General features: G+C 41.2%; 1 protein-coding gene across 20 annotated transcripts in view; it reads left to right on the plus strand.

Annotated features, from left to right (window-relative positions):
• Positions 1–23,817, plus strand: part of RYR3 (ryanodine receptor 3) — a 555,136-nt gene that overhangs the window by 192,644 nt on the left and 338,675 nt on the right. For 19 of the 20 annotated variants that reach the window (XR_001751370.2, XR_001751371.3, NM_001036.6 and 16 more), the window contains exon 3: positions 21–128. The exons of the other annotated variant lie outside the window; for it this stretch is intronic. Coding sequence is in view for 17 of the 19 variants with exons in the window: in NM_001036.6 (NP_001027.3) it covers positions 21–128 (108 nt within the window). In the remaining 2 variants the exon portion in view is untranslated. The remainder of the gene's footprint in view (positions 1–20; positions 129–23,817) is intronic. 20 annotated transcript variants of the gene reach the window in all.

The raw sequence follows: 23,817 nt of genomic DNA on the forward strand, positions 1-23,817 counted from the left end.
TTCTGATTTTATTTCCACAGTACATTCCTCCAGATCTCTGCGTCTGCAATTTTGTGCTGGAACAGTCCCTATCTGTCAGAGCCCTGCAGGAAATGCTTGCCAACACAGGTGAAAATGGCGGCGAAGGGGTGAGTACCCGAATTGTGTCCTAGGTTGGGATTGGGGTGCACCACATCCCCAAAATACGTTCTACATTTCATCCAACTTTGAACTGAAAAATTTTAAGACTGTTGAGATGATTCATATGGAGATAGTAAATCTTTCTCCCTGAGTTGAGTTGGTGTTATTCAGCAACCCTACTTCTGCTTCCTCTGAGTTAATCAGCTTCCACCAGAAAATGGACCACCACTAATGCTGCATGAGCAAGGCACAGGATGTTAAGCCTACTCCCCTCTCTTATCCCAGAATTCACCAGCGAATGTGGAGAGGCTGAGAGGGTCTTGAGATTGAGCATGCCTGTGAGGCAGTTTCTTTTTCCTTGGAAAAACCTCACTGGGGAGTTAGGACTGCTCCAATGGAGCACAACCAAGTTACAACAGTTCAAACATGATTTCCTACAGAATTATGAGTCTTTGACATGTGTCCAGAACTTGATGGTTTCACTGATGATGAGCAAGTACAGAATTGTCTTGAGTTTCCATTGTCAGTAAAATGATCCTTATAACTAAGAGACAAGCTCCATATTGCCTATGTCAGAAGGCTTTTGGGCAAGACTTTGGCCAGATATTTCAAAATAATTTTTGACTCTTCCCTTTCCTAATGGCTCACATTCATTTTTATATATTTGTCATCAAATACTTTAATTCTACTGCCTGAATATCTCAAATTCAACCATTTCTCTCCACCATCCTCAATCCCCCATACTCCATTAGATGACTGTCCTCTACCTTTTGGTTACGGCAACAGCCTATTAATTGCTTTGATTCCTCCTATACTTACCCCCTCCTCCCGTTTTTCCACTCAGCAGTTCTTTCCAAAATGCAAATACAATTATTACAGTTGCCTGTTTTAAAATCCTTTGTCTTCCCATTATTTTGAGATAAATTCCAAATTCCTAAACATGGCTTAGAGCCCTTTAGGAGTTGGTGAGCCCTGTTCACCTTTCCTGCCCCATCTCTCACCACATCCCACCAAGTACTCAGTATCCCAGCGACATCGAATTCCTCTCTCTGCCTCAAACATGCCAGTTCTCTTTTGCCTCTGATCCTGCATATCACCTATTCCTTCCACATGGAACAGCTTCCCTCCTCCTCTCTCACTTCCCTTATGTAATCCCTACGTATCCTTCAAGGAACTAGTTTAGTTATTAGATGAGTTGAGAAGCCTCTGCTGACCCCACAAGTCTGTTGCTGGGACAACATTAGGTACTTTTTCTGTCATAGCTCTTATCACTCTGTACTGTCATTGCAAGTCTTTTTTCTTCGCTACTGGAGAGTACACTGTCTGTGGGTAGAAACTGTTTGCAGTTACCTAGTAGCACAGTTTGTTCTCGCTTGAAGTTGTACATAATACGGACATGTCTCATTTGTAATAGAAGAGACAATTGACCATAGAATCAAGAGAATCGATGTTTACATTTCGGCCATCCTCCAGCCCTTAATGTGATCTTGGGTACATCTAATCTCTTGGGGCCACAGTGTTCTGTGAATTAGATCTCTAAACCCCTTAATACCAAATATTTGTGTTTTTTCACTCTTTTGATTTATAGCAGTATGCTTTAGTAAGACAACTGAGAATAGTTTGCTTTGTGTCTTAGATCATTAACAAAGGTGAGATTTTTGTTCATTTAATGTTCTCCTCAGTCTGGGTTCATTTCCCTGTTCCTTGCATTGACCTCAGCATCTTATATCTTCCACATACTCTCAAACACTTCCAGTTTAGGGAAACTTTGTTGTTGTTGAGACGGAGTCTTGCTCTGTCGCCCAGGCTGGAGTGCAGTGGTAAGATCTCTGCTCACTGCAAGCTCCGCCTCCCAGGTTCACACCATTCTCCTGCCTCAGCCTCCTGAGTAGCTGGGACTACAGGCGCCCGCCACCATGCCCGGCTAATTTTTTTGTATTTTTAGTAGAGATGGGGTTTCACCGTGTTAGCCAGGATGGTCTTGATCTCCTGACCTCGTGATCTGCCCACCTTGGCCTTCCAAAGTGCTGGGATTACAAGTGTGAGCCACCACGCCTGGCCGGGAAACTTTTTTTTAATTGATCACTCTTCTTTTTCCAAGATGTATCATATAAAGAAATCTTTGCTGAGGGAGACCTAGTTGATTTTAAATATCACCACTTTCAGTATCAAACTAGACCCAGCCTACCATGGTCTCAGGATAGAAATTAAGAAGACAAAGACATACTATGTTAATTGGAGAATTATTTCTTGGTTAATCTCTTATCCTGTTTTGTTGTAAAAGTATATTTCAAAGGACTTCTTTTTCTTTATCATTTAGCTTGAGTGGTTCAGAGTCCTATAGATGAGAAAGTAAATTCAAAAGTTCTGGTTTTTCCTTGTTGCAAAGAACTTAATAGTCTTAACTTGGTTTGTCTTAAGGGGAATAAGTAATCATTCATGTTCCAAGTAGAATGGAGGGACGCACTTTAATAAAATTGAGCTCTTCATTTTAGAATATATGAATAAGACCTACCTTAATTACCAAGCATGTTATAGCAGAAGTTTGTTTAATATAATTATATATTTCAGAAGCCATTTATAAGTTACAACATGTAGAAACCAATACATTAAATCTTATTTGAATAATCTACTCTTCTTTAAAAACTCATGTTCAAAATAAATGATCCATGACATTTTTGTTAATATCTATAGAATTATCATCATCATCATGTTGAGTCAGACTCTGAAATTTTCCATATTGCCTTTTGTTCTATTTTTGCCAAAGAGAAGAGAGACCTAATAGTTATTTCCCACCTTGACACATTTATCACTATTATAAGGAGTAGTATTCACTGGAGATCTCAGAGAAAAGAGACTTGAGAAGAGAGATGGAACACAGATGGGAAGGTACTTTTTTCAAGTCATATTACTTTACTGTGCATTGATGACTCCACAAAATAGTTACCTGAACAGCAGCTTCAGGTACTAGAACCCTCTTGGAACTTTCTCACAATTCCGTCTGGGCTCTTAGTCTTTCGTATGAAAAATGCAAGTTTTATATCATCTCTGGAGTCTGATTATTTTGCTTTTCTGAAGTAATTACTGTACACATTTACTATTGGTATTTAATTTGATTTTAGAAGAAAATATTCAGCAGGGAAGAAAAAGAGGAAAAATAAAGAAGGAAGTGAGTTAACATGACAGAGCAGAATGATTCTCTGGAGAGCCTGGGGATGTTTGAGTGGGATGGAGCATTCTTTGCATGCCACTCCATTCTGTTTGGAAATAGCCATTTTCTGCTTTTAAATAGACATTGCTTTCACTAATGATCATGACTGCCACCAAATGGGAGGCTTTGAAGAGTATAATTTTTCCTTCTAGTCAAAAATTGGTCCTGGTGTACTGTGTCTGTTCACTGCTGTGTAGCTACTGGACATTTTTAAAAATGACTTCAGCTGTTTACTCACGTGTTGAGTGTACAGAAGTCTTTCTGCAAAGATTACAATTCTGCAGCAATTTCTCTTGCTAACAAAGAAAACAAAATGCCCTAATTTAACAGCAAAGAGGTTTCTTTATTATTTAAATGTCATTAGCTGCAGCCAGTAGCACATGGAAGCCAGCTTCATATTGAGAAGGAGAATCAGTGATGAGGAGGACCTGGAGCAGAGAACATTTTGTGCCTCTCAGGGTCTGCCCTATCTCAGCTCCTCCTTGGATCACTTTACCTCTGATCTAATCCTATGTAATTTTATTCTGGGGAAAATTACCGAGGGATAGATGCTTGGCACTGTGGCCAATTTTATGGCTACAGTTTGAAGTAAAATTCCTGCAATCAAATATTAGAGTATTTTCACATTTTCAATTGATTAGACCTACAGTGTCTACCAACCTTCAGCAGGACATGGAGCCAAAAGAGATGTCCCCACCTCCCTCTAAGCCCTCAATCCCCATCATCCTACAGAAATGACTTTAAAGTGAGAGCAAACAGCATTTGTGATGAAAAAAATGCTCAGTCTTCAGTGTCAGGCAGATGTGTTTTCAGTCCAGCCTATATTGGACCAGGTGACCTCTGGGGCAAATTATTTCTCCTTTCTGTACCTTACTTTCCACATCTTCAAGATGCAATCTATCTCGTAGGACTGGGTGAGAATTAAATGAGATCAGTGCCTACAACTACCTGTGAGTTTGAAAATAAAAGTATTGGTTCCTCTGTTCATCCCTGGTCCACTTCCTCCTGTTATACGGATCCTTCAGGAATATTCAAACTTCCTCAAAGGAAGGAGAGTCCTGTGCTACACAACTAGGTGCATGTTAAACTTAACTCCAAATGGGTTCTGACATGAACTGGCATAATGCTTCTAGGAATGAAAGGCCTTGGTTAACACAATTACCAGCTGCACTCCTGCCGATAAGGGCTCCGGTTTTCTCTAAAAGTTGACTTCATCAATGTCAGATCTTTACAACTACGAAGAGAGATGAAATATAAATATAAAATGAATTATATAAATGGTATTTATAAAAATATAAAACTAATTGTATAGTTGCCACATGAACATGACACTTTATCCATGTCCAGAACACGTAAGATTATGCCTGACTTTGGATGCTAAAATATCTGGTATGCTAATACACAAGCAGCCTTTTAACCTTGATTGGGCTGGGCGTGGTGGCTCACACCTGTAATCCCAGCACTCTGGGAGGCTGAGGCGGGCGGATCACAAGGTCAGGAGATCGAGACCATCCTGGCTAACACAGTGAAACCCCATCTCTACTAAAAATACAAAAAAATTAGCCGGGCATGGTGGCGGGCGCCTGTAGTCCCAGCGACTCGGGAGGCTGAGGCAGGAGAATGGTGTGAACCTGGGAGGTGGAGCTTGCAGTGAGCTGAGATTGCACCACTGCACTCCAGACTGGGCGACAGAGCAAGTCTCCATCTCAAAACAAAACAAAACAAAAAACCTTGATTGGGAAATGTGACCTGGAAAGATATTATTTCTGCAAGAACCTTTATAACAGACATCCTCACTGAGAAGTTCTTCATCTCCCCGTATTACTTGTGTGATTTGATAGTCCCATTAACTCTGAAAGGAGCTTTTGGCTCCTTTGATTTATTCTTGTCTTTACAGTAGGGAATACCACACACAGCATGGTTGCTAGTGAAATGGTGTGGCACATTTGTCATATGTTACTGCTTCTTGAAGATGACATGCCTGTGACTGCTAGGGGTTGTCTCCTGGTATCATGTGACCTTGTAAACGGCCAGTGAAGCGTAAACATACATTATGCTATATCCGTGTAAAGGTCCTTAGAGTGCATGTCATGAGATACATGAGATATTTACCTTGCAGCCAGGTTCAGGACATTCATTCATCTCATAAACTCACAAAAAATTTAGTGACAGGTGGCAACATCATTAAAAAAGAATTGGCTAACAGTGCATCTGCTGTGACACTGCTAGCTGATAAATACATCAAAACAAACACTGATGAAGGGAATTATTAGAAGCCCCTTGTTTAAAGTCTGAACTGTGGCTGTGCCAAGATTTAGACATGTTGTGCAAACTCCTCTAGAATGAAGAGGGCTAATAGGATCCTTACTTCTTTCTTCCTGGGTTCCTGTGTGCCTGCCAACATTTTTATACCATAGAAGAAAAGGGGAACCACCACCATCCAGATTTAGCATCTCACTCTGAGGTTTTTATCTTCCCTTTAGAAATGTTAGAAAAAAATTGGTAATAGAATTTATTTTGTATGTGTGTGAGGAGGAAACATGACTGATGGAGGAACTGCGTCCATAATTCTAAACCTCATCCCCATTTTTACATGTTTTAATATTACATTTTTAAAAATACATAATTGAATGAGTCAAATCTAGCAAGCATTGATTACACTTCAGGAGAGTTCATAAGATTTCCTTTTTAAGTCACTCATGCTTATATTGTGATGTAAGTCCTAGGTCTTGCCCATGTATGTGTCAAGTCCCTACAGCCAGAGTAGCCATGCTAGGTGTTAAAAGCCTGAATTTCCTTTGTATTCGTTGGTAAAAAGCCACTGCCTCAAGCTGTCCAAGAACATCCTTGGTGCCCTTGCTCAGGACCTCCCCACCCCAGTGCCGATGACTTTCAGGCTGCTAACCTTTGGGACACTCCTCCTCCCTACACCTGATTGGTAAGAACAGGATATCACATCATTAAATTTTTAACTTGCTTGACTTGACTCTGCTTTTTCCTTGGAGAGGGAGAAAAATAACATTCTGGTTTCAGATGCTGTTCTTTCCCTTTTTAAATCTATGGCTGACCATCCACACCTGCTGCAAAAATAATGTTTTTTTATACTCGCAAAATAACAAATCAACTTGGCAAAATTGCTCTCATGTGCAAAAGCTTGTCGAAACCTGCGCTTTAAAAGCTGCCCTGTGTTAGAGTTCATTTTACAGATGTACTCCTGGCAGGCAGCCTGTTTCGGTGACAAAGCTGGGTGTTTGGAGGTTTAGATTTGGTCTTAATAATGCCACCAACTGGAAATTTAACTTCAAGCAAATATCTTACCAACTGGGCTTTAGGTTCCCCACCTCTACATGACATCACTTAGATGCAAAGTCCTTTCTCAGGTCTGTAATGGTTGCAGTGTACCAAGTTAAACTGGAAAAGTGTCATCACGTCACTTCCTCTGGTGTGTCCTGTGGGCTATAGCCCATCACTGATGAGCTGTGGAAATGTTCCCCTTTTTGTATTAATCATTACTTGAGACCTCGGCTCCCATTTATTTAGGTAGAATGAATAAATGTATTCTCTTTCTTCTTTGCTGTGGACAAGGAGAATTTTACAAAATCCATCCAGGACAGCAACCCTAAAGCACTAAGCATTGAGTACATAATTTTAATTTTTTTTTTTTTTTTGAGACAAGGTTCTCCTGTGAATTTTCTCGTGGAATTTTAGGGGACATATCATGTATATTTGACAGGTTTTCTTTCCTCAAAGAGCTAGGAATCATTTTGATAAATTAAATATTATTATAAATGAGAGGCCTCCAAACTAAAGTTTCAATGTGTTTTTTTCCACAGACCAAATTGTCATTAAACATGTACATCCTCTTCCCCCTTTCCTTTCCCCTCCTTACTGTCCTTTGTCATGTTATGCTATGATTTTAGGATTTTATGCTGATATAATGGATTTTAATGTTTCCCTGATAAGCTGATATTTATGAAGATATGTGCAAATAACTCACATTTCATTTTTGGACTGGCCTTTTGATGACATGATTTTTGGTTAAAATATGCCATCAGGAAGACCTTACTTCATGGTAAGAAAGCACCTTTCTTGGTCTAAGCAAAATCTGATTGATATAATTGATTGCAATTCTATGAGAAATTCCAAATTGCCTGATGTAGGTATTGACCATTTTTCTTGGGTGGATTTTTTTTTTAAATGTTAGTTATAAAAAAGTGGTTCAGCTGACTTAGGCGACAGCACATTGCTTGCTTATAGTTTGTTGATGACATCAGCACTGTACTAGAGAAAAACAGGAAAAACAAACTTTTACATTTAACGCTCTTGCAAACCTCTAAGATAACAAAATATTTACCAGGTAGGAAATCCACCCTCTTTTTTCTCTCTTTAAAAAAAAAAAAAAAAAAAAAACTCTTTAGTAAGCATCAGTAGACTCCTCAAATAAGTTGAAAGCTTTCAGCAAAACCTGCACACGCTAAAATATCCATTTACTGTTTTGTTTTTGATTTTGCTAGCTCAGTGATCTCTCGGAATGGGTATGTTATTCACTCCTTCAATATACATGTACTTTGCATGGACAACTGACTTCAAGCTGTATTTGTCATGAACTGGGCCTTTCACTTGTGAGTGTTCAGGGCAGTTTCCATTCTTTGTGTCTCTGCAATTAAAAAAAAAAAACCACTAGTGCACCTCACCCTTCAGTGTTGTGAAATTAGAGGTGGCTGCACACATAGAAATTCGTCGCCAGGCAGTTTGTTTTACCACTGCTCTCCAATTAGAATGACTTGCCTGTGGACTCATTTTTTATTTCTTCAAAACATTGCAAGTTGTTTTCTTTTTAATTTTTTATTTTTTTGAGACGGAGTCTCGCTCTGTCGCCCAGGCTGCAGTGCAGTGGCGCGATCTCGGCTCACTGCAAGCTCCACCTCCCGGGTTCACGCCATTCTCCTGCCTCAGCCTCCCGAGTAGCTGGGACTACAGGCGCCCGCCACCACGCCCGGCTAATTTTTTGTATTTTTAGTAGAGACGGGGTTTCACCGTGTTAGCCAGGATGGTCTTGATCTCCTGACCTCATGATCCGCCCGCCTCGGCCTTCCAAAGTGCTGGGATTACAGGCGTGAGCCACCGCGCCCGGCTGCAAGTTGTTTTTAAAGCCTCTCTTGTTTGCTCTGAATATGGTCTAGATGGCCTGTGATCATAGGTTCAATCTGGTGAGATGACACAAGTGTGTAGCTTTGCCTTCATCTCAGCTTCTCGATGCTTCAGACCTCTTCCAGTGCTATTATGCAACTCCAGCTCTGCTATTCCATGAGGCTGGAATTCATGATAAAAATGGAAAAAGCTAGTTTGATATTTTCTTTCTCCTGCCATATCTCCAAAGTGAACCAGCAGAAGAATTAAACGTGAACTTCAACAATTAAGAATAACCATTCAGGTTAACTAGCTTTTTACATTTCTTCACATGCTGAGTTAGAAGCCTTTTCAAGTGAAAGAGCCCACAGAATAGATTTTTAAAGCTCCAGACTCTCTCAAATCCCCCCATTTATTGAATATAGTGCTTCAGCTTTAGTGTGACTGTCTTTTCTTTGGTGAAATGGGCGTGTTGTGAAGTCGGCACCTCATGTTTAAGATCAATATGCCTGTCTGATCCTGGCGGTGTTTTTGCAAATGTGTTAACATTTAGCTTTGCTAATGTTACACAAACTAGAATTCTGTTCATCCTTGCTGTGGACATTGGAATGCTCTGTTGAAATAATCTTGTCATAATTGTATCTGTGATCTAGAAAGCCTGAGCTGCTTCTCCATGGCTGGACTAAATATATTTGTTGGTGGTGGTGGTTGTTTCTATATTTTAATTGCAAAAAAATGTAAACATCTTCATGAAAGTTTCTTAGAGGCATGAGGAGGGATTGGGGGTGTCTAAGCTTTCTCCAGGACACAATCTGTAGGTAAACAGTTTATTATTCAGGGAGATGTTTTGATAAGAGATTTTGCTGAGAGTTTTGAGAAAAATAACTGTTTCATGGGGGACAGGAGTAGAGATGGGTTGTAAAAATGAATTTCAGCTGCGTTTCTGGCAACATGTTTTAATCCTTAATTGTACAATATTTGAATTTTGGGGAAATCTTTTAAGAAACCTGCTTACTTTTTGAAAATAAAGCACATTTGCAGTTTTTTAAATCCTAGGAGAATGGAAACTCTTCAGTTTATTTATTAGAGTTTTCCTTTGATCATGTAATTCGCTTTTTAATAAATACCTGAGTTTAAATTACATATTTGTAGTGAGAAATGAATGAACTAGAGCAAACTTCAATTTATTTCCATTTCATTAAAGCTTAATAAGAGCACCGATCTGGATATTCTGGTAAAGAAAAGTTAACTTGGTGCTAGAGAAACCCTGATCTCAGCTGGCATTTTCATCCTTACTTGAGTAAAAACCTTGTGACCAACACTCCAGTCCTATGATTGCCACTATCTGGTTTTAGAATGGAAGGAGCTAAAATGATGACGTGGAATCGGTGGAAAGAAAGTGGGAATAAGACCAAATATATTTAGGCGAACCATGGTGTAAAAATCACTTCTGCTCTGCAGAGGGCTGAAATGGTTATCTGCAAAGTAAGACGAAAGCTGAAGGCAGAATGCTTCTGCTTCCACCTAGAGTTTCCTGCTGTGGGTACTGCATGTACTTGGGCTTGTAGTGAGGTGGGAGATGGGGAAAGTGCTGAGTCTTGTTTCTGAGTTCCGTGATGTTGCTCTGGTGTGAGGGAGGAAAGTGCTGGACTAGGCAGGGGGTGGACATTCTAGCCTTGGTATTCCCACTCTCTGGTCCTTGCTGTCCCACCTGCAAAACATGGACTCTGAACTAAATGAGTGGCTCCTAAACGTCTATCCCAGGATCAGTGTCTACCCGTGATGAAGGATTCATAAGTCATCAGGAAAATGGGAAAAACTGTTTTTTAGTACCCTTCCTATATTGATGATTAGTTTCATTCCTGTGGTTGAAATTGTACTTGTTCTTGAACTTGTTCTGTAAGGCCTATTCTTGCCTACAGCTCACGCATTCCATGTACTAAGTAGTTTTGCCCAAATATCAGATAGGTGTTTTGGTTTAAAAAAATGCCTTAAAAAATGTTCTTACTGAAACCCGGATAGTCAATTCCCTTGCTGGTTGTGGTTATTCACCTCTTTCTTTGTGGATAACTACCTCTGTGATTGAAGAGGAAAGGCACTTGATTTTAGAGTTTTTAGGCATCAGTTGCCCCTCCTTTTGTTTTTGTTCGAGAGAGAAACATGCATTGGCACCGGCACTGATAAGAATCACCTGGTGCCATCCTATTAAGGATGTGCAGCTGGAGGCTTGGTGCTCCAGACCCCGTTTCTCTGCTGCTCATCTGCCTTGAAAAGATGGAGGGTGGTAGGCAGGAGAACTGGGGTGTTCTAGAAGAATGAATTGAGAGCTGACCCAGTGTAAATGAGGCCCGCACCACGGAGGTTTCTTCTAAGGAACAGCCTTTGGGAGTTTGCTTTTAAACGCCCTTCTCTCTGCTGACTCCTGAGTCCTGCTCTCTGGGTGGGGCCAGAGGTGGAAATTATTCATGGTGGAGCCATTCCTTAAAATACTCATTTTCATGTCTTTGATGAGCTATTTGAAAGGTAAGTTGAATGCATTACTTTTTTTTTTTTTACACCTTATATCTTCATAGTTTAGTTTCTAAAGTTATGACTTGGTTTTAGGAATTTTCAGAATCACTGCTAGGGTATAAAAATCTCCAGTTGTTGGCCAGGAGCGGTGGCTCACACCTGTAATCCTAGCACTTTGGGAGGCTGAGATAGGCAGATCACGAGGTCAGGAGATCGAGACCATCCTGGTTAACACGGTGAAACCCCATCTCTACTAAAAATACAAAAAAAAATTAGCCAGGCATGGTGGCGGGCGCCTGTAGTCCCAGCTACTTGGGAGGCTGAGGCGGGAGAATGGCGTGAACCCGGGAGGCGGAGCTTGCAGTGAGCCGAGATCGCGCCACTGCACTCCAGCCTGGGGGACAGAGCGAGACTCTGTCTCAAAAAAAAAAATCTCCAGTTATGTTAAACAATTTTATAGTTGATACATAATGTACCTAGTTTCAGAATACATGTGATAATTTAATACATTCATGTAATTTATAAAGACCACATCAGTGAAAATTTCCAGAATTTGTTTTTGATGGGTACAAATAACTGAGCTGTAATGACTGAGGCATTGTGAGTCGATGAAATAGAGCTTTGGAGCTGATTCTGTAAAACCTCACCTCCACAATGATACTGTCTAAACCATCGAAGCCACAATTAATTCTCTGACCTCAGGCAGCTGACCCAGGTCACCAGGAGAATGAGCAACTGCTGTTCCCAGGCAACCACTTTGATGGTGCAGGGCAGGTGGAGCAATAGGGATACACAAATCCATGCTTTATTAGCTATGCAGATTTCACTGAAAGTCAGTGGGAGAAACCTTTGTAGGTCTGTCTGCAGCCTTCTCAAGCTCTCTCAATAATATAGTCTCTACCTGTTGTATATGGAATGCCAATTCCTCTTTTCATAACTTCAGTCTTTCCTATGGCACAAATCCCTTCTGAACTTCTTACTATGTCTTTCCCCAAGTGGAGCTACCTAGGCCTCTGCTAATACTATTTATTGCATTTGCAGTTTCTTGTGAGATTTTATTAAAATGAGCTGTTCCCAGGGTAACCAGGAATGGTAAGTTCGCTGGGCTGAACCCTGGTCCAAACAGATCCAATTCAAACTGGTTTATTGTTTTGCCTTAGGTTTTTGGCTTGCAGGAATACAAAACATTCTTCAGTTCTGCCAGTCTCTTTCCCCATTTGTCTGTCTATAAAAATTCATCAATGTGCACTTATTTTCTAAATATATTAACTTCATTTTAATGCTATTAACAAACCTTAGTATTTTGCGTATGTGTGTGTGTGCATAATAGATACCACTTCGCACTTCCTCACATTTACACTTGTCTTTCCAAACATATATCCCTGTATAAAAGGAATTTCTAGGGTGTCTATTTTGGACTTCACTTCTTTTTCCCACATGGTACGCCTTGTTACTAAGATAAAATTCTAACAAAAAAACCTTTATTATGATATTTGTATTAAACTATGTTTAAAAATTGGTTGCTTCAATCCCTTTTCCTGAAGAGTAATGTCCTAGTTGCTGTATCTTACAAAACATGCCAAAAATAATCAAGAGATTTCTGTATTCCAGCTTCCCCCATGTTTTATTCAATATAGGCTACTTTAATTTATCCTCAGGTTCTAGCATGAAACAGAGGCATGCCCCCCCCGAAATGATCCTGTTTTTAACATACATGTATATCCCTCTAAACCAAAAGACTCGTATCTGTAAGATCTACTTTTTTTTTTTTTTCCTCCTGAGACGGAATCTCACTCCGTCACCCTGGCTAGCGTGCAGTGGTGCAGTCTCTGCTCACTGCAACCTCTGCCTCCTGTATTCAGGTGATTCTCCTGCCTCAGCCCCCCGAGTAGCTGGGATTACAGATGCCCACCACCACGCCTGGCTAATTTTTGGTAGAGACAGGTTTTCACCATGTTGGCCAAGCTGGTCTTGAACTCCTGACCTCAAGTGATCCACCCACCCCAGCCTCCCAAAGTGCTGTGATTATAGGCGTGTGCCACCACCCCTGGCCTGTAAGATCTATTTTAAATGCACTCACTTGATCTAGGAAAAGAGTCTCTGGCCAAATCCAATTTTTTCTTACAAATCTCAGTGGGCTTCAGAGAAAGGGGAATGCTGAGTCAGACAATATGCTATCCCTAATGTTCCCGAACCTCCCTGTAACCAGATCTTGCTGGCTCAGACCACCCAGTTTGTAACCCATGAGACCTTGCACAGCATTCTCTCCCAGATGGAGCTTCTGCAATTTTTCAGAATGGCTTAAAAAAAAAATAAGGAACCAATAAAGAATAACCTGGGTTACCATGTTTACAGAATTGATGACAAGAGCCAAACATGTTACCCGGTGTTCTTCTACCTTTTATTTTATTATTATTATTATTTTTTGAGATGGAGTCTCACTCTATTGCCCAGGCTGCTGGTGTGCAGTGGCACAATCTTGGCTCACTGCAACCTCTACTTCTCGGGATCAAGCGATTCTCCTGCCTCAGCCTCCCAACCAGCTGGGATTACAGGCGCGTGCCACCACATCCAGCTAATTTTTGTATTTTTAGTAGAGATGAGGTTTCACCGTGTTGGCCAGGGTGGTCTTGAACTCCCGACCTCGTGATCCACGCACCTTGGCCTCCCAGAATGCTGGGATTACAGGTGTGAGCCACTGTGCCCAGCCTCTTCTACCTTTTAAATAACCTTTCTGATTTTGTCTTTATAATCCAGTGATTGAAAAAGAAGCTTCAGTATGGGGCTATTAGAATTTGAACTGAGAATCACTGCTGTAACACTACATTGGAAACTCGCTGTAATGTAACCTAAATGTACATTACAATGACCATTTCACACAACATGTCACCAATTCCTGTTTTAGTATCATCTTAAATTCGCATCTCTTTAAAATACCCAATGTGTTCCAAAATACAGTCGTCGTTTTCTCTTGGATACTGAGATCCTCCTTGCCTGGTCCAAGGGAATGCATGTTAACCTCTGCAGCATCATGGCTGATATCTTTGCGCAAACCCCTGCTTTCTTGCAGCAACAAAGTGACCCAGGCTCATCTTAATTTTTCTACCCCAGGACATGACATTGTATAACTCTTTAATATCTCTGGTTCTGTTTCAGAGAGAATATTAAAGATCAAACTCTGGCTCTAGGGATATATATTTATTACCCCCACTATGACCCATCACAGGCCAAGTCCAATTGGCCTGAGATTGGAGGAGATATTAGTATGATACCAGAAAAGAGGTTAAATCACCTTGATGACAGCATGATTTAATAATAGAATGAGACTTTATTATTTTTATGAGGAACATGGCACTTATGGAACACCTACTGTATGTTCTTTCCGTTCTCTGGTTTCATGGCACAATTTTCTAGGGTTTCTAAATCTTCTTTTGATTCTTCAAGTTGCATAAACAGCTGTGGATGCATATTGATGACTGGACAATGATAGAGTTTCCAGTGATTTATATAGCCTGCCTTGGCTCAAGTCAGTCAGTTAATCTGTCTGTTTCTCTGGCACTTCCTCTCACTGTGGGCCATCACAAACTGCTTCTCTTAGATAACATGCTTCCTTCTTCAGGCTTCTGAAGATCATTCCCAGTCAGCAGTGGTCTGTCTCAGTGGAAAGAGCAGAAATCAGCAGCAACATTCTTTTCGGTGCCAAGTTGTCACATTACATTAATGGTAACCACCAAACTTGCTGCAAATGGATTGAATTATTATTTTTTTTCTTCACTGGAGGAGGCAAACATCAACACAACTGATACTAATTTTATTAATTTTGTGGAGTTGTTTTTTTTCAAATTGTGAACCATACTTGGTGTTTTTGAGCTGGCCGCTCCCCCTCCTCTCGCAGGAGCTCTGCAGGTGCTACTTTTAATACGCCTTCTTTCTTTGCTGCAAAGCCTGCCACAGTGTCTTGCAGCTCAAGGGAAGTCAGGTTTTACTGTCAGCCCCAGTCGGTTATCCTCCCATTGTCAGTGTGATAAATTTGCTCCCCGCACAATGGGAGAAAATAGATCAGATGGTGCTCGCTCTGTCCGGGTCCCAGCTTCCATTCATAGATCAGCAAAGGAGTTTTTTTGTTTAACTTTTATTTTTCCAGTTGTCAGAAAAGCTAGTGGATGAGAAGAATGCTTGGACCTAAGCTAGCCTCTGAAAGGTGGGCTTTGGAAAGCAGCCATGCGAAAAGCACTGTCCAAGCATTAGACAACTCAAAACAACTCTGAGACACACTAGTCCTGCAGATACAGAGAGAAATGTAGAATGCAATTCTAAGAATGCAGAATGAATGCTGAGGCGTACCCTTAAGTTCTGGGGGTCTGCAAAGCACAGAAACCGGAGTGAGAACATAAGATCAGAGCTGACTAATTCCAGAGGGAGGTGACCAAGTAGTAAGGGAAGCAATAGTGCAAGTCCCTTTCCCCAGTCTGCTTTGTGCTTTGCCATTAACTGCATCTTTTCCCAGGCCCTGCAGCATCCACACCAGTGGGGAGGGAGGTCTAGAATGCATGGGGGGCAGTTCAGGAAGTGTCCAGCTGACCTTTGATGTGGTAAAGACAGGTGGATCTGGGGTTGACAATGGTGGGCTGGAAACTCTTCTTCTGAGAAGCTTATCTACAGTCTTCACCACACATAGATTTTGTAGTAGGGATTTGTGTCTTTCTATCTATCATATATATAGAAGCAAAGCTGAGAGAGAAGCAGAGAGAGTCAAACATTAGTCCTAAAGTTAGCAAAGGCAAGCAATCATGTTTGTTCTTTGCTTCTTTGGAGTTCCGGAGAAATATTAAAAGGAAAGTCAATCACTGGTCCAAAAGGATGCTTCCGAGAACACAGAAGTGCTTGCCGACTGCATGCATCATACATGAAGGGTCCTATGTGGCTAAGTCCTGGAGGGGTGACTGTCAAGCCTGACTGTGCATTTGAATTACCTGGGAGCTCAGACCTCACCATAGGCCCACCAAATTGGAATCTTATGAAAATGACCCAGCTTTTATGTTGTTTTTTTTTTTTCTTCTTTTGTATTCATTTTTAAATCTCCACTAGTTATTCCGGTCTATAGCTGGGATTGAGGGCCACTTTTCTAGAATGAAATCATGAGAGGTTCAGAAGAATGATGTCATTGCCTTCAGAACAGCCCCTGGTCCGTGGACAGGTGCTAAGTATTAGGAGCATCCGTTCTGTCTATCCCCAGGCCCACATACACAGGACCCTGGAGAATCAGCCTCTCCACCCAAGGCTACTTCATATACTTCAAGAAAAAGGCAAGATCGCTGTTTGTTTTGCTGGGTAATATAAACTTGGCCCCATGCTCATTATGTGGATATAGAGAGAACAAGAAGAATCGATCTCCAACTAGGAAAATCATAGTTGAGACCAGTACAAAAAAGATAGAGAGATTTAAAAAAATAAAGGTTGGTTGTTACAGGACATCCAAGGGGGAAAAAACCCCATGTAAGTTGAAGAACTGCAGGAAAGGGGGAGGAGGATCAGATAACAAAATAGAATCCAGTTGACCTTCTGCTTTATAGCTTGTGTGGGTAAAGGTGTTACACACAGTAGTAGTCAGCAGGGTTTTATGATAAAAAACTTACTCCTATTTTGTTATCTATAAATCCTCAGGATGAACAGTGAGTTTTTTTATAGAGAAACAGTAGATTAGAAACAGTGTTCAAATTTTCACGTCAAGGTAATCGGACTTTTTGAATGTTAGACTCTTTGTTGGAAATACTCATTATGCTACATTTGGTGAATGGAAATAATTGGGCAGAGCTCTTAATATTGACCCTTTGTGGTCACTGGTCCACTGTTTCATCTGAAGCCTGATGAGGAGGAGGAGTATGGGTGGTTCAAATAGAAACCAGAGCAGTGACTAGAAAACAAATTTGGCTGACAGGCTCCTTTTATGCAAAGAATAAATTTGGCAACATCAGATTCTTAATCTATTAGCTACAGGAGAAGGTGGTGGGAATAATTCGGAAAAAAAAAATTGCCTCACCTCTTTCCAAAGCATACTTGTCATCAATCTAAATGTCATTAATACGCTGACAAATATCTGGCGATTTGCTCTTTTAAAAGACACCATAATAAGAAACATGTGTTAGGGTTGCCATTTTGGCTCACTGTTCTCTCCATGGCATCTGTGTTCAAAGAAAAGCACAGATGTATACAGGATGACCCTGCCCAATTTGGAGGCATACCAGTGACCACCTTTTCCCCCTCAATGGAAAATGCTCATCTGTCTGTTTGAGAAGCAGTGTTTGAAAAGTATCAGGACTAGTGGGAAACTCAGTCATTTAATTTGTTCCCCAACCATTATGGATTGGGACAAAAGGGGAGGAAAATGGTTGCAGAAATCTACATCGATTCTCATAGGGCAAAGGCTCTTATTTTTAAAGTCTTGGAAGGCAGGAGGTTCCCCAGTTGTCTTCAGTTGCACATTTGGAGTTTAAGTCTGCACCATCCAGGGGATCTTCCTACGGCTTTAGGTGCCCACAGGAAAGAATCAACTCTAGGTTACCATAGCATCTCGTTTGCAGTCTCCAACCCATCTGAGCCATCTCGCAGATTATACCTATTCCATGTGCTAAACTTGTGCAAAGCAGAATCTAAGTTGGTGTTTTCCTGAAAGAGACTACTTTACTGGGGTACAGGTTCTTGCTGCAAATGATGCCTGTGACTGAGAATTTACACCTTCTCAAATTAGGCTCTGGCCTTTCATCCTTTTGTTCTGAAATACTTCCATGTGGCAGTGAAACTAATGACATGAACAAAAAGGAGATTGCGCCACCTTCTCATCCAGGAAAAATAATTCTAGGCACTTCCAAGAGAGAGGGTTAGCTGGATTCAGTAAATTATAAACCATGGGAATGGTAAATTTGACATTCAGTAGTGGGCGGAGGGGGATGGATTGTTTGATTTTGCCTCTGTTTTCCTTGCTTAGTGGCAAAGTTTATGTATTTAAAAAATCAAAGGAGTGCCTTTCTGTGCACTGCTTTTCAAGTATTCTTCTCTTTTGTCCTGTGATATGAGGAGACAGGAAGAAGGCAGTACTGTGGGTGTCGAAGGTGGGGCTCCCTGGAGTCAAGGTCACTCTACAAGAGCACAGCAGCAGACAGAGTGACTGCCATAGGTCCTTCTGCCACCAGATGCAGCCAACTTTCTTTTCTGGGGTAAGGGCTGTCCTATTGTGCATTGCAGCCTTTGACATTTGGTCCTGTCTTTTTAGTAAGGCAACTGCTAGCTGACCAAGTAAGACTGCCATGATCACTGAATTTGGGGGAAGTAGTACTTTCAGATGCTGTGCCTTCCTCCTGTTTTCTGAACTTCATTAAGATTCTATTTGATGGCCAGATGCGGTGGCTCATGCCTGTAATCCCAGCACTTTGGGAGGCCGAGGCAGGCAGATCACCTGAGGTCATGAGTTCGAGACCAGCCTGGCCAATATGGCAAAACCCCATCTCTACTTAAAAAAAAAAAAAAAAAAAAACTAGCCAGGTGTGGTGGTGTGAGCCTGTATTCCTAGCTACCCAGGAGGCTGACACAGGAGAATTGCTGGAACCCAGGGGGCAGAGGCTGCAGTGAGCTGGGATTGCACCACTGCACTCCAGCCTGGGCAACAGAGCAAGACTCCATCTCAAAAAAAAAAAAAATTCTGTTTCATAGTTTCAGTTTTCACTTTTCTCTCAAGATGCCCATGAAAGATGCCAGGGGTGTCGCCCCCTTTCAAGCATGTTTCTGTGAAGGACCTGTACTGCTCTGGCTGAGTTGGTCCAGGCCCACTTGGAAGATTTCTTAGGGGGGAAAAACCTCTTCACAAAGTTCCCTGAAGTCAATGGCTCAGGCACCTCTGACTCTCGGCTTTAGATTCGTATTAATTACCCCATTATGAGTTGAAAATCAAGGTGTCAAAAGAACGATACCTTATGCTGTATAGTGCTTTATACTCCAAGGTTGAGAGCCACAGGAGGTAGAGAGAATCTTTGTTCAGCTCAGGAGAAGGAGGGTTTGGCAATTAGCCAGTTGAGGATTTAACTATCTGATCCAAAAAAGGTGGTGAAGAAACAAGTTAAGTGTCCCACACTGGGCTCTTTGGGGTTTCATACCAGTTTCAGGGAGTTAGGATGGCTACCTGTACTTAGCGAGCTCCTGTTGCCTCATTCTCTGGCTGTGACTCCTCATCACAGGCCATACTCATCTGTGCATGTGCCCCTCCTACCCCTGGGCTGTACTTTCTAATTCCCAGTCTACTACCACAAAATCCTTCATTAACTATTAATATCATTAAAGAAGAAAAAAATATCCGTGTTACCAGATGTTTACAATTCAAGGCCTGTTTGGAAAATGCCCCATCAGTTCCTTTGGTGTCATTTGAGCTGGAGAGGTGTTGTCTAGCCCTATTGAGAGGTGAAGCCAGCTGGGCTTCTGGGTGGGATGGGGACTTGGAGAAATTTTATGTCTGCCTAAAGGATTGTAAATGCACCAATCAGCACTCTGTGTCTAGCTAAAGGATTGTAAACACACCAATCAGCACTCTGTAAAATGGACCAATCAGCACTCTGTAAAATGGACCTATCAGCAGGATGTGGGCAGGGCCAAATAAGGGAATAAAAGCTGGCCACCCGAGCCAGCAGCGGCAACCTGCTGGTGTCCCCTTCCACGCAGTGGAAGCTTTGGTCTTTTGCTTTTCACGGTAAATCTTGCTGCTGCTCACTCTTTGGGTCCACACTACCTTTATGAGCTGTAACACTCACTGCGAGGGTCTGAAGCTTCATTCCTGAAGTCAGCGAGACCACCAACCCACCGGAAGGAGCAAACTCTGGACACCCCACCTTCAGGAGCTGTAGCACTCACCGCAAGGTCTGCGGCTTCATTCTTGAAGTCAGTGAGACCAAGAACCCACCAGAAGGAACCAGTTCCGGACACACTATCTGTCCACCCCTCCTGGAAGAGCAGTCTGCTTGAGTAGGATCTTTGGAGTTTGGCCAGCTAAGGGAGTGATCTGCTAGCCTATAGCAGTAGGGCAGGGTAGACCTAGAATCTAACAGCTGTGTGAGGCAGCCTTGAGAAGCAGGGAATGCACCAAGTCCCCAAAAACAAGAACGGGATTTAAAGTGAAGAGGGACAGTCAGAGGAGCCACTGGGTTTGGGACCCAACTGCAACGAATCCCTGCAGCAGGAGATGTTTACTTTGGAGTCTGGAGCTGAGCCTGAGGGAGCTATGGGGAAGGGAGTCAGGTATCGTCAATAAAGGCTGCCTCTCTAGCGTTTCCGTGTAACACCAAGGGTAAAGAAAGACTCTGGAGTCAGTGTCTTAAAAGCAATGATGCTAGATATGTGTCCCCATCTGCCTTTCAGGTAGGTAAAGTCGTTTCCTGAGGATCCTGGCAAAGTAATCGTACCCACAAGCAACTGAAGGTACAGGGAATAGGCAAAATACTTTTAAAATGCTCGATTTCATTAAACACACGTACCATGTTGTTGCACTACCCCCCTACACACACATACACACACTATCCTTTTCCCCAAAATGCTGATATAGTAATAGTGTTAAAGAAAATTTAGAAAAGGAAAAATTCAGTGGTTCGGCAGCCAGCCAAATGGCTATTTCATTTTCATAGGTTTCCTTATTCTTGCCTATATGTAATACTTGAAGGTATTTTGTTTTCTGCTTTTCCCACGGTGGCATATCACAAATGTTTTTCTGTGTTTCCACATAACCTCTGTAATTGCCTTCTTTAATAGGTAAAGCATAGAACATCCTCAAGAAGCCTCATAATTTACTAGGTAATATTTTTCTTTGGGACAGTTAGGTTCTTTCCAGGTTTTTTGTTTTGTTGCGCCTATTATAATGCTCTTATCACAGCTGGGTGCACACTTTTCTTTGCTTGTCTTGAATTGCTCCCAGAAGCAGAATCACTACAGAAAAGGTTATGGACTTCCTTATGGCCCTTTTCATATACTTCCATATTGCTTTGCAAAAGGGTTGTATTCCGTACCACCTTGCCTGGAATCTCATCAGCTAAATTGCAACTCTGATAGCATTAAGCTTTTTTTTCCCCACTTTTGCAAATTTTGCAGATGTAAAATGATATATCAAAGTTGCTTCAAGTGTCATTCCTTTCATTACTAGAAAAGATAGAATCTCTTCCATATGTTTGAATTTTCTTCTAATATGCGTCATTTATTCATATTCTTTGCCGACTTCTATGAGGCTTAGTTTTTTTCCCTACATTTCAACGAGATAGTAACCCTTTTGTCATAGTGTTACAAAGTCTTTCTGTAGTCTATTAAATGTTGGTGTTTCCATTGTTCTGAATTTCAGTAATTTTGGTACAATCGTATCTGTCTTCTATTGCCTTTGAGTATATCTGATGCATCAAAGCATGGATAAATATTAGGTCTGTGAAGAATGTAGACTCTTCCGTTGCATGCTAGTTGTTTTAGAATTTAATTTTAAAATGAAATATTTAATTATGTTATCCATCTGTAACTTATCTTTTTATGTTTCCTGTGGATCTTACTGAAAGCTTTTCTCATTTGCCATCCGCATCTCACAGAGACTTGTGCTTAATAACCCCGCCTTTCTCCTGTTGTACTGAAATCTGCTTTGTCATATGCTACACTTTCATATAGTCAGACCTGTTTATGGACTGTCTGTATTGTGCCACACTTTTCTCTTTGAATCAGAGTATCAGAGTGAATTAATGAACTTGGCTTCATAACATTTACTAAAACCTTGGTTCTTTTCAGAATAAAAAATCCTTACTGTTTATATTGCCAGATTAGTTTTGTAGCAATTTGTGAAATTGCAAAATATCGCACTAGAATTGTAATTAAAACTGTATTAAATCTGTCAGTTAAATTTAGGGGAATAAGCAGTTACAAATATTAATGTTCTCATCCTGTAACAAAGTACACCTTTCCATTTCATCAAATCAAATCTTATTTTATACAATGAGGTTTTGTAGTTTGATTTTAAAGGTTGCCTTCACCTAAGCAGATTTCTAAAAATTTAACATTTTGTGGAAATCATGAGTAGAATCTTTCATTATGCTTTCTAACTGAATATACTGGGTGACTTGCTTTTGTTTATTTCTACTGTTAAGTATTATTGTTTTCTACTTATAAGGCATCATTACTATTTAGTTGTCACTTGTATCAAAGGAAATGCAAACCTCCCAGGCAATGTAAAAGGGCTCTAGCCTGTTCAGGAAATATTGTTCTGTGAGCTTCCAGAAAGACTTCTTTCTTCTGTAGCCTAAAAGAGGGGAACTGAAGTGAGGTGTGAAAGGAAGAGAAAATTAAAGTGCACATCCATGCTTGGAAAATGACTTCATCCCCTACAAGACCTCCTAGGAATATGACCTTCCAAACAAACTCAGCAAGGAGCCTTCCTGAGGCCTTGGAAGATTTCTTATTGCCTGGGACTCCCAAAGTGGAATTTAGGGTTCGAGATGTTAAAGGAAGTTAGTTTGGAGCTCTAACAGTATTGAAACATTTGTGTGTGGCTGGACAGAAGCATAGTCCCCTCCCCTCCTTAGTTGCCGTATCTGGTTTATCTGACTGGGAAGAAATATCCTCTGGGAACTACTAGAAGAAACGTCAGTAATGGAAATTAATTCTGAAATTACGGGCACGAGGATTGAGTTAATGAGCTAGTGGAACATTTTTCCTCTGGACATGGCATCAGGGCCTTTTACCAGCATTTCCCTGATCCACCCCCATCCTGCGAGATGGAACCAAATATTTTCCTTCTGCCAGTGGTAATAGCCAAGGTCACTCGTGGCAGGGACAGGACTGCCATCCTGATAAATCTTCCCAGTCTTGAGGTCTGGACCTCCTTTGTGAGCAGACCCACACAATCTTCTATGTAGCATATCACACCTTTCCTGGAATGTTATTCCAGAATTAGTATCAAACAATGAAAAGAGTAGAATTTGTAGTTAGACCTAAGTTCAAATCCAAACACGTTGCTGACAAGCTCGTCATGGGAATGTTTATTAAATTCTCTATGCCTTTTTTTTTTTTCCATCTGTAAGATGAAACCAAAACACCACCTCCCCTAATTACTTACTCATTCAGGAAATATTTAATGCATGCCTCCTATGGTGCCGGGCACTGACATGGGCATGGCAGAGGATACAACATGGTCATGGAGCTTATATTCTAGGGGGAGAGAGAATAAATTCATATTAAAAATAATACCACAGAAGATAATAAAGCAGAAAATGTGACAGAGTAAGGATGATTGTTCTTTTAGAAGACTTGACCAGAGAAGAATTCTCTCATAAGATGTTTGAGCACAGAACTGAATAAAGGGTGGAAATTAACCATGAGAATATTGGAAGAGCATTTCAGACAGAGGGAAACGTGTGCAGAAGCTTTGTGGTGGGAGCATGCGTGTCTGAAAAACAGAGGAAAACCAGTATGATTGGAGCAGAGGATGTGATGGAGAGCGTGCTGCTGGCAGGTGAAGTTAGAGAGGTATGAGGGAACCAGGTCATACAGGGCAGTGATATGCAAACTACAGCCAACAGGCCAAATCCAGACTATGGCCTGTTTATGTACAACCCTTTAGGTAAGGGAGGTTTTTAAATTTTTAGAAGAATGTTTTTAAAACATTTTTTAAAGGGCAAATTCTTTAAAAAATAAAATAAAATAAAATACATTAAGGCCGGGCATGGTAGCTCACTCCTGTAATCCCAGCACTTTGGGAGGCTGAGGTAGGTGGATCACTTGAGGTCAGGAGTTCGAGACAGCCTGGCCAACATGGGAAAACCCCATCTCTGCCAAAAATACAA

Source organism: Homo sapiens, chromosome 15, assembly GCF_000001405.40.
Source record: "Homo sapiens chromosome 15, GRCh38.p14 Primary Assembly".
Taxonomy (NCBI): Eukaryota; Metazoa; Chordata; class Mammalia; order Primates; family Hominidae; genus Homo; species Homo sapiens.